The sequence below is a fragment of the Homo sapiens genome, chromosome 7, assembly GCF_000001405.40.
Source record: "Homo sapiens chromosome 7, GRCh38.p14 Primary Assembly".
Lineage (NCBI taxonomy): Eukaryota > Metazoa > Chordata > Mammalia > Primates > Hominidae > Homo > Homo sapiens.
Genome location: NC_000007.14, coordinates 133420009 through 133432424, shown reverse-complemented (window position 1 = coordinate 133432424; position 12416 = coordinate 133420009). Strand labels below are relative to the sequence as shown.

At 40.1% G+C, this 12416-nt stretch overlaps 1 protein-coding gene across 11 annotated transcripts in view; it reads right to left on the bottom strand.

The window, feature by feature from the left end:
• Positions 1-12416, bottom strand: part of EXOC4 (exocyst complex component 4) — an 847874-nt gene that overhangs the window by 668527 nt on the left and 166931 nt on the right. The window lies entirely within an intron of this gene.

The window sequence follows — 12416 nt, the reverse complement described above, 5'->3', positions numbered from 1 at the left end:
GCTATTAAATGCCTACTATATGTCCCATACATTAGCTCACCAAATACAAAGCTGTGTTGTAAGGTAGGAATTTATTATTATCATCCACATTTTACAAATGAGTAAAGTGAGCCTTGGTAAAGTTAATAAAGTTATATAACTAATTAGATGTAGAGCCAGAATTTGAACACAAATCTTCTAAATAAAAGCCTGTTTTGTTTTTTTTTCCTCACTATCCCATGCTAACTTTCTAAAAATGTCTTTTTTACCTGAACCAAAAGAATTCTTTTATATTCTCCCATTCTCAACTCCCAACATTAAAGGGATAGACTAGACCAGGAACACAATTATGATCATAGTAGACTTATGATCCTCCCTAGGGTATCTCTCACAGATACAACAAAATTCAGGAATCTTTTTTAAACATGTTATTTTAAATACCAGGTATCAATCAGTTGATCAAAAGTTACAAAAAGGGGGAAATCTCAGTACTTTCAAGTAGTATTTTAATAGTCTGCTCCCTGGAATGAGTTTTAACTGAGGTAATTGAACACACTGTTTCCCATAAAGCCTTATAAAATAAAGTCTTTGTCAAAAGGAAGTGAAATATACGCTCTCCACATTCAAAGGCTCTCAATGTCTACCTGTAGTCTGCAGCTTTTGCACAATGATTCTCAACTTCATTACGGGTCCGGTCTATAAACCTATCCCTCATGGCACACAACTCCACTTAACATGCAAATGTGGCTCTAAAAACAACGCCTCAGATACAGGGTAATCTATGCTTACTTAAGCTATGCTACATTTAATTTACACATATATTACTCTGGAAGAGCAGAATAAGGAGGAAAGGCTGATAAAATGGATTCCTCCATCTGCAAGAGTGATTAGGAAAGAAAGGAATACTAGTAGATAGCAAACCTGTACTAACCTGTCTCACTTTCAGATAATTAGTTGTGAATTTTTTAAGGCAAGTGACTCACAAGGGAGGGTACAAATTTATTGCCTTCCACAATCTAATAATCTTGGCAGCAATGAAAGTTATCTACTTATTGATAGGCAACTGTAATTTATCTTCCCTGGGTAAAATGCAGTTATTTAAATGTTTTTTTCTTGTTATGAATGCTAGCCTCAGCAGTAAACATGTAAATGACTTCACAAGAACAAAAACACTCATTAAATGTCAATAAACCCCCAAAGCACAGCTATAAAACTGTCAGAAAATTCTGTATCAGGTCAGCAATGGACCATGAAGTTCAGGAAGAACAGTGAATTCAAGATGACTTTGAAGGCAAGAATTTGGCAAGGAAATCAGGACCAGAATTCTAGTCCTTGTTCTACCATTAAATCCCTTAGTGACCTTTAGAAAGTTACCTGACATCTCTGGGCATCACTTTTCTCATTACGAAACAAACGGGTTGGATTAGATTCATTATTCAGTAAAATTTGCTAAGCACCTAGTATTTACAGTGCTGACACAGGTGGAGTGGATACAGAAGTGAACAAAATGGACAAGGTGCCTAAACTTCAGGGATTTTCCATTCCAGTAGAAAGATGGATTCATTAGAACCTCTCAAGCTCTACAATTTTATGGCCTTTCAAAGTATCAGACAGTAACTCATTCCAGTATAGATGATGTCCAAAAGGCAAGATAGAAAGGGTAAAACTATTTTTTCTTAGTAAATCAGTTACATTTCAAATAATATGCCCAATATGCGTGGTGGAATATAAAATGGTACAGCTAATTTGGAAAACAGTTTGGCAGTTCCTCAAAAAGTTAAACACAAAGTTACTATATGATCCAACAATTCCATTCCTAGGTATAGTAAAATTGTAAACAAATATTCACAGAAAGACTTGCATACAAATTTTTATAGCAGCATTATTAATAAGAACCAAAATATGGAATCAACCCAGATGTCCACCAACTGATGAATGGATAAACAAAATGTCCATATAATGGAATATTATTGATATGGACCAGAAGCAGGGAAATATTAGATAGAAGAGGGCAGTTCCCCAGCAAAGGCCCCACCCGCAAGCCTGGAAACCACAGCCCTAAATGAGAAGAGTTATCCCGTTTTCCCGCTCAAATGTTGCTTTTTCCAAAACCACCCTGGCCCGCCATGCCCCACATCTTGTACCCACAAAAACCCCAAACTCCATTGGCAGAGGAACAGAGCATTGCAGCAGAGAAGGAGAAAAGAGAAGAAGCAACTGAATGTCGAAAGGAGTTCAGCTGGGGACGGTTGGAGATGAGGGAAGATCCTCTTTCCACTCCATCTCCTTTCCAGCTCCCCATCCCGCTGACAGCCACTTCCATCACTCAATAAAATCTCCACATCCTTCAAGTCCATGTGACCTGATTCTTCCTGGATGCTAGACAAAAACTCAGGTACCAAGAGGGCAGGGTGTAAGAGGCTGTCCAGAGATGGCAACTGCTAAAAGAGCATTAATTTTAACACACCCCTAGACACTGCCATGGGGCTGGAGCCCAAAAGCGTTTGTCCCAGCCCTGGCACCCGTTTGCCTGTGTGTTCCCCATTCCACAAGAGGTGTGAGCTCAGCAGCAGCCCAGTAAGTGGGCCACACCCCCATCACAAGTCCCATGAGGGGGTCAAGGGAATTCTCCTGTCTCATGATTAAGCAATAAAAAGAAATTAGGTACTGCCATGCTATAACATGGATGAACCTTGAAAACATTATGCTAAATGAAAGAAGCTAGTCAGAAAGGCCACATACTGTATGATTCTATTTACATGAAATGTCCAGAATAGACAAATCTACAGAGACAGAAAGTAGACTGGTGACTGCCAAAGGCTGAAGAGAAGCAGGAATGGGAGTGACTGCTAATGGTGAGTGATTGCTAAAGGCCAGTTTTCTTCCTGGAGTGACGAACATGTTCTGGAATTAGACAGTGGTGATAGTTGCAAAACCCTGTGAATATACTAAAACCTATTGAGTTATATTCTTTAAAATGGTGACTTATATGTGAATTATATCGCAATGCTTTTAATTTTAAAAAATTAAAAATTATGGAAAAAATTTAGGTCCTAATACGTAACAGAATCAATTTCTTAGCAAAGTTAGAAAACGGCATAGTGAAACAGAAAGCAGATGATTTGCTAGTGAAATGTTTAAAATAATGTTCAGATTATGATTTCAAAGCAGTCTTATACTTGGTTCCTTATTTTAGATCCAAAATAAACATCAAGATTGATTCAAAAAAAAATTAAAAGTCATGTTTCCATCAATTCTTTCTCTAATATTCTAAGACTTCGTTCTTTCAGTGCCCTTTCACTTACTAAATCAATATCCTCACTACTTCTCCTTCATCATTGTTCTTCCAACCCGTGCTGTCAATCACCTCAATCCCTATTCTCAAACCACGCCTCTCTTGCTTAATACTTTCCCTGCAACTTCAGCCTTTCCAAGGCATCAATATTTCCACAATCCTCCTATAGTCAACTTCTGACTCATTATAAGAATTTTCTAATCTACACATATGTATAACATTCATAAGGTAACTTCTGATCAGAGAAAAAGGGAAAAACAAAACACAAAAGAAAAAAATTTAAGAAAAATGATGATACTTACTGCAGGCAATTTTACCAAAATTAACTTTAGTAAGTCCTGGTATACCCTGGCTCAAAATCTAACATCTACAATAAGCAGCAACAGATGTTTGTGGCATAAAAGAAAGCAAGTGGCATACCAGAAAACACACTGATGTAGAATATAACTGAAGGAACCCGAATATTATACTAAACAAGTCTTCAAGCCACAATTATTGAATCCGTTTCCTGATTTACAAATTCTACAACAGCAAATTTCTAAGCATTGAGTCTGTGCATAACTAGCCAAAGCTGGATATGCTCCAAGGATTATAATAAAATAAGAATAGAATAGAGCAGAACAGAACAGAATAGAACAGAATAGAATATTAGCACAGAGTGATTACCATTTGTTCTGACATTGCTTCTTCCTGATCACTCTAAGGCATGTGCTCTGCTTGATGGCAAATGCTTATGGCTACTGGAATAACAAATGGCATTTAGATGTCAATAGAGAACAAAGTCAAAGGTGAAATGTTAGCAATTCTCTGATTGAGAAGTCCAAGGGAGAAAGAACTCCTTAACGCTCAGTGTGGTTGGCCTTGACCAGAAATTTAACTGTGGCTGAGAAATTTACATTCGACTACACAAGACAACAGGAAGGATGGCTGCTCCTCACATCAGACCAAGTGAATAAAATTGAAAAATTTTAAATCAGGACATTCTCTATGCTGAGGTTTAATAAGCCGTAGACATACAAATCACTGTCAAGTGTGATCCAGCAATTCTAAGAGCTGCATTTTTAAGCTTCCATTAGGCTGGAGCACTTTTACCGTGATCCTATCAGGCATAAGTTGAGAAGTTAAATACCCTATTTCTCAAACTCTTGAAAGCATCACAGACTGAAGCAAATAATTTGCAAACACAAGGTAGTTATGTCTCTCATCTTTTTCTGTAATAAGGAAATTGATTCTCTCTTCAAAATCTACCAATTGATTTTTTCCCTTCTGTTAATCAGATTATCAAAACACAGTGTAATTTTTCTACATGGGAACCTCAAACTGAAAGGAAGAACAATGGAATACCCAAAGTGTGTGTGGTACCACCCCCTTACCCACTGGAAATACAAGAAGAAAATATTTGGCCACCAGCCTCATCTCTACCACGGCAATTGATGGAGAAAACCGGCAAAGAGAGTTCATGCAAAAGCAAGATATTAATTTACAGAGTACAGAGTTGGGTGGCTCAACCTTCCTGTGCCAACCCCACATCTCCCTGCACCCCAACGCACTTGTAGATGGCAAAAATGAGGGTGCAGAGTAGCTGATAAAAGCTAATCCAAGATACAAACTGCTCTGTTTTCCTTTCTGACTGGAGGTTAAAATTCCTGCTCTACCAAAAATTAAAAGAAAAATCCATTTCCATTCTACTTACTGCTTTATGAACAACAGATCATGTGTCTGGCATTCCATAAGATAATAGTTTCAAGGTTGTCATGTCAAAATGTCAGAGTTGTTGATGAAAACGTATAGAGGTGATGTCAATGCCTGAGCCTTAGCATACAGACAGCAAACAAATAAAATAGTAACCTAGTAGAGCTGTGGATCACCCTACTGAGAAAGGCTGGGAGTCGAGCAGCACAGCCTATAAAGTTGGATACAAAAACAAATACTCCTCATCCCAACTAAAGACTCAATCCCACACTCATCCCCTAGCTTATGAGGCGCCTGACATACAATCCAAGTTAATGAACTGCAAAAAAATGATTATCTTGAAAAAAATAAAACAACTCATCGAATCACCTTTGATATACCTCAAAAACAAAAAAAAACCACACATATGGGAGCATCAGGAGAGTCACATTGGATGCTAAGGTTCCTTTAGAGTGTATGGAGCACTAGGCAGAGCTTAGAGCCATCTTTTCAATGTGAATCCAATTACTCATTAATGAAAAAGACAGAGACCATGGATCACACTGTCAATATAAACTGCTCAATTCCCTGTTATACCTTAAGAGAGGAAATGTCTGAAGCTCAGCAAGAAGCTGACATCAAAAGATGTTCATGAAAAAGATCAACAGGAAGTCAACTGAACTACTGAATGTTAATATTCAATAATAACCTCTGTATTATTTAATGATGTTGGTGATGACAACCATCTGTTTACAGCAGAAAGAACCTACATACATTAATAGTTCTTTCTTCACCATGTATTTACAAATACTGTCTTTAAAATTGCCCTTGGCAAAGCAAAGATAGCAAGACATGGTAACAGTTTTCATAATTTCAATGATGTATTTCTAAAAGAAAGGCAAAAGGAACCAATATTTATTATTTTCCACAGGAAAATTAGCAGAAAATTGAGCCATGTAAATAAATTTGCCATAAACATCCAAACAGATACTATTATTATCCCACACTTCATGAGCAAGTTATTTGCATGTAATTAATTTGCTTATTTCTGGGGCCTCAGACAATATAATATGCTCATCAGCTTGGTTTCCAAACAATAAGTGTTTAACTCTTCCTTTTATATTTGTAAGAAAATATTTACTTGCTCTTTCCTTAACAGATTCAGAGCCAGCTGCAGGCATAACACACAGGGCTGCTCCTGTGGCAATTACAGACACATAACCCCTAACTGGGGCATGATGTTACCAACCTTAAAATGAACATAGAATAGCCAAGGCTGAATTCCCTAACACCAAAAACATCATTACCAGAAACAGAAAACATCTACGGGAAGTGGGTGCTGATCATCTCCTTCCTGTAGACAAAAAGAGTCAAACTCTGTAAAACAGTTGAAGAGATATATTCTGAGCCAAATATTAGTGACCATGGCCAATGGCACAACCCTCATGAGATCCTGAGAACACGTGCCCAAGGTGGTCGAGGTGCAGTTTGGTTTTACACATTTCAGGGAGGCATCAGACGTCAATCAAATACATTTAGGAAATATAACGGTTTGGTCCAGAAAGGTGGGACACCTCAAAGCAGGGTCTTCCAGATTATAGGTAGATTTAAATTTTTTCTGGTTGACAATTGGTTGAGTTTATCTAAAGACCTGGGATCAATAGAAATGAATGGCGGGGTTAGGAGAAAGAACTGTGGAGATCAAAGTTCCTATTTGCAGAGGAAGCCTTCAGGTTGTAGGCCTGAGAGAGAATAAGGTGTAAAATGTTTCTCCTCAGACTTAAAGTCTGTGTTGATGTTAATGCTGGAGAGGTATAATGGGGCATGTCCAACTCCCCATGTTCCCGTCATGACCTGAGCCAGTCTTTCAGATTAAATGATAAGAGTGTCTTGAGCCAGACGTGGTGGCTCACGCCTGTAATCCCAGCACTTTGGGAGGCTGAGGCGGGTGGATTGCCTGAGCTTAGGAGTTCGAGACCAGCCTGGGCAACATGGTGATACCCCGTCTCTACTAAAACACAAAAAATTAGCCAGACGTGGCAGTGTGCACTTGTAATCCCAGCTACTCAGGAGACTGAGACAGCAGAATCGCTTGAACCGGTAGGCAGAGGTTGCAGTGAGCCAAGATTGCGCCATTGCACTCCAGCCTAGGTGACAGAGCGAGACTCCATCTCAAACAAACGAACAAAAAAAGTGTCTTGGCTGAGGAGGAAGTCCATTCAAATGACTTGGGGGCCTTAGAATTTTATTTTTGGTTTACATTCCCCAGACTACCGACTTCTAAATTCTGTCCTCCCTTGAAAAAGCAACTCCCTACCAACATCTCCCTATCCCCTGAAGCTTCCATGGCTGCTCAGCTCACTGTCTTTGAAGTTCCTGTCCCTGCCCACCGTAACTGCAGTTCATGGAGTCCATGCCTTCCCTCATAGGGTACCATGGCAGTGTCTCCCCATCCTGAGCTCTGGCCCTAGGAAAATACTGTTGTTTCCTCACTGAACTGGTTGCCATCACTAACTTAGTCTGAAGCTTTGGGAACTCCCCTAACATTTTCTGTGTGCTAGCCAACCTAGTTTATACAGGCTTTGCCTCCAGAGAATTTTGGTAGTCATTTACCAAGTCACAGGCTAAACATTTTAAATGTCTCATCTATTGATCTCCCTCTCTCTTAAGTTTAGCTTCTCTCTGAGAGAATATAAGAAACAAGAGTCAAGCTGATCACATTTTTATGGATTATTTACTGACTCTATTCATAGTGCTAAACCTCACATCGAATATACAATATTCTGACAATAAAAATAATGTTACCTCTAAATATTCCCGGCATATCTTTTTATGAGTAACGCTTGTAGGGTACAAGGTTATGAGAAATATTCATTTATTCATTGAGTAGTTACTAAACACCTATTGTGTTGGAATTGGTGGGTTCTTGGTCTTGCTGACTTCAAGAATGAAGCCACGGACCCTCACGGTGAGTGTTACAGTTCTTAAAGATGGTGTGTCCGGAGTTTGTTGCTTCAGATGTTCAGATGTGTCCGGAGTTTCTTGGTGGGTTCGTGGTCTCGCTGACTTCAGAGTGAGGCTGCAGACCTTCGCGGTGAGTGTTACAGCTCTTAAAGGCGGCGCGTCTGGAGTTGTTCATTCCTTCTGGTGGGTTCGTGGTCTCGCTGGCCTCAGGAGTGAAGGTGCACAACTTCACAGTGAGTGTTACAGCTCATAAGAGTGTTACAGCTCATAAAGGCGGCAGGCACCCAAAGAGTGAGCAGCAGCAAAATTTATTACAAAGAGAAAGCTACCAGAGCGTGGAAGGTGACCCCACCAGGTTGCTGTTGGCTCGGGTGGCCTGCTTTTATTCCCTAATCTGGCCCCACCCACATCCTACTGATTGGTCCATTTTACAGAGAGCTGATTGGTCCATTTTACAGAGAGCTGACTGGTCCATTTTGACAGAGTGCTGATTGGTGCATTTACAATCCTGTAGCTAGACAGAAAAGTTCTCCAAGTCCCCACCTGTCCCAGAAGCCCAGCCGGCTTCACCTCTCGCTAGCACTCGCCACAGGACTTTGCGGCACCTAGCCCAGGCACTCCGCAGCCCAGAGGGAGCTCGTCCCCCTATCAAGTCCAGCAGGCGCCAGCTGGCTGTGCCAAGTGCGGGCCCTCCGAGCTCGTGCCCACCCAGATCCCGTGCCGGCCACAAGGCCTGCGCGCAGCGCTGGCCCCTACCCGCGCCTCTCCCTCCACACCTCCCCACGAGCAGAGGAAGCCGGCTTCAGCCTCTGCCAGCCCCAAAGAGGGCCCAGAGCGGATGCCAAGGCTGAGGAGGCACAGAGAGCGACCGAGGGCTGCTAGCACGTTGTCACCTCTCACTATTATGTCCAAGAACAGCACTAGGTACAGGGTACATAATAATAATAAGCTAATCACATGGTTCTTACTTTCAATGAGCTTAAAATTTAGCAGGAAGGAAACTGACAAAAGTCTACACACATGCACATACTCACACCTACACAATCACCAAATGAGCAAAGTGATGTAAAGTAAGATAGAGAGTGCTATGGCGTACATATTGCTTACCTAAAGTGAGGACAAAAGACGACACAGAATATCTAAGCAGCAATATTAGTTTTACCATATATTATGAAGTCTCTAGAAGAATTCTAGAATTAATCTCTAGAAGAATTCTCACAAAGAAACTTATTTAGCTCATTTTGGATTGCTCCATTAATTCTATTTTTTTTTTTTTTTTTTTTTTTTTTGGAGACGGAGTCTCGCTCTGTCGCCCAGGCTGGACTGCGGACTGCAGTGGCGCAATCTCGGCTCACTGCAAGCTCCGCTTCCCGGGTTCAACGCCATTCTCCTGCCTCAGCCTCCCCAGTAGCTGGGACTACAGGCGCCCGCCACCGCGCCCGGCTAATTTTTTGTATTTTTAGTAGAGACGGGGTTTCACCTTGTTAGCCAGGATGGTCTCGATCTCCTGACCTCATGATCCACCCGCCTCGGCCTCCCAAAGTGCTGGGATTACAGGCGTGAGCCACCGCGCCCGGCCTGCTCCATTAATTCTATTACTTTACCTAATGACAATTTTCAACATGAGATTCTTTCCCTTTCTCCTTTTAAAAAGTAAGCATTTCCCATAATTTCTGTAGTAAGATAAAACTTTCACATACTTCTCTAAAATTCTAACTACAGATTTTTTTTCTATTATTAAAAAGAATTAGATTCCTAGGTTATTTTTAATTGCTCCACAAATCCCCAAGGGATTTTCCACCAATGCCCATTTCAATCAGCTCTAAGTTGAATGTCATTCTGAACTGGGTCATTTTGAAGAGCTCCATGAGCCAGTAAAACATGTAACCTACATAACCTCCATTTTAAGAAAATGTGGTTCTAAAATCAGCTTCATGCAGTTTGACTATAATTTCACTGGCTCCCATCTAATTTAAGCACTGATTTTATTATGTAATGCAAACTATAGGAAACACAGAACTCTTATGTTAGGCACCCTTTTTATTATGCAATGCAAGCAATATCAATACCCTCTTTATTGTATAATATAAGGTATATAAGTACCCTTTTTATACATGATACAAGCTATAAGGAAGACAAAACCTCTAAAACCAAGCTTAAACATGGAAATCACCCAGAGCTAAAGGATGACCTAATCAAGAAATCAAATAACTTCACTAAGCGAGTTTTTTAAAAATCTCCGATTTAAACTTCTGTTTTGTTTTCAGTTTTGCCTATCTCATTGTATTGTCCTCTGCCTACTTAATGAAGAAAGGTATATATGGCCAGACTGCCCAGCCTACTTGCAATGTTCAGAGGCGTAAGCAAAAATGATGGGCCCAAAAGCATGTCAGGACCTTATCATCAATCAGGGACAAAAGGGCTCAGTTCTTTGCAAAAAAATGAAATTTTTAATCACCTTCAATCAGGTTACTGGGCATAACATAAAAATTACCTCAAATGAATTGCACATAGTTCTTATTTCTTTCTTCTGCCTAGTATTATAGGTAGTCATTTAAATGTCCATTTCTCTTAGTAAATTAAAAAATTGCTTCAGGGCAAGGATCATATTCTTCATTTTGGTATTTCTAAAGTATCCTGAAAAAATGCTCAATGACTATTCAATGAATGAAGCAATATAATTGGCCTTTAAAAACAAATTATGTAGGCATTGGGGGAAAAATGAATGAGTAGTTAGGAGATTTTTAAAAATTTTTAAGTACACACTTATTGGCTCCCATTTCAGCTCTCTAGTTGAAAGTAACAGAAAACAACTCAAAATAGCTTGAACAAAAGAGGGAAAATTATTACTAATATACAGATTTAGAATTATGTGTTATACAACTTAAAGGCAAAAATGCTGCAAGGACCCAGAAAAGCAAGCAGGAAATCAAAAGCAGACAGGCCCCCAGCAGTGGGCCCTCTTTCTCCATAACTTTCCTTCTCTCTTCAGATCTGAGTTCCCTCTGTCCTCTGCAAGGAACATTCTCTGCTACTCGTACAGTAGAAGTCAGCTGTACCACAATTTCCTTGGATTCTAATCTCTTTACGTTAGGTCAGCAAGGACTAAACTGTCATCATTTGGTCCCAAATCCAAATTCCCAAGATGGAGAATCTGTGTGACCCAGTTTGGATCAGCCATCCATGCCTTCTCTGAAGGACTGTGGTTAGACACAATCAAGGAACAATCATGACTTCTGGATACACACTACTATTGGTAGGAAGGGGGCAGCTCTGTGAATAAGGCATTACAACAAAACAAGTCCACCACAACATTATATAATGCTTTACACTTTACCAAGAACTTTTACTTCAACTCATTCAATTCACACACAACAGCCCTGTAAGAGAAGAATGACAGAACTTAACATATAAAAGAATTGATGCAAAGGATAGTTCAATGTCTTTCCCAAGATTGTTCTGCTATTAGGGCAGAGCATGTCCATTAGTTTACACCAACCCCTATCATCAAAATGGAATAGTAAAAGGGAAAGGAACAATTTTTTTTTTCTTAAGCCCAAGTTAGGAAATTACAAACTCTCTCAGAGAGTACAACAGCACTACAAAAGTGAAAAACACTATACTCAAGCAGAAGTGGCAGGGAGAAAGAATACCAAAAATTCCCTGATGTGAATAAGCTTTTACACAACAAATTATTTTGCTGACCATAAAACAATTCACCTGGCCAGGTCAAGCCCAAAGAACTTTCTTCTCCCTCTAAATCAACCTTCTTTGGCACCTACCATCTGTAACAGTTTCTTAAAATGTAATCGTCTAAGGAATGTCACTGAAATGTAGATTCTGATCCAGCAGGTGTCACAGACAAGACTTTACATTGGCCCCATGATCCTCACCTCCTACTGTCCACGCTTTTGTGTGTTTCCCTCCCCTTCGGCGTGGGAGGGAACTGTGACTTGCTTTTAACCAACAGAATATGAAAAAGATGATAGGCTGTCACATGACACTATACAAGACTCTGAAGCTAGCAGAACCCCTCCCACCAACCCCACTGCTGGCTTTGAAGAAGCAAGTTGTCATGAATCCTGGAGCAGCAAGAAAAAGAACTTGGCCAACAACTGGAGCTTAGAAGCAGACTCTGTCCAACAATGATAGACTGGATTAAGAAAATGTGGCACATATATACCATGGAATACTATGCAGCCATAAAAAATGATGAGTTCATGTCCTTTGTAGGGACATGGATGAAATTGGAAATCATCATTCTCAGTAAACTATCGCAAGAACAAAAAACCAAACACCACATATTCTCACTCATAGGTGGGAATTGAACAATGAGATCACATGGACACAGGAAGGGGAATATCACACTCTGGGGACTGTGGTGGGGTGGGGGGAGGGGGGAGGGATAGCATTAGGAGATATACCTAATGCTAGATGACGAGTTAGTGGGTGCAGCGCACCAGCATGGCACATGTATACATATGTAACTAACCTGCACAATGTGCAC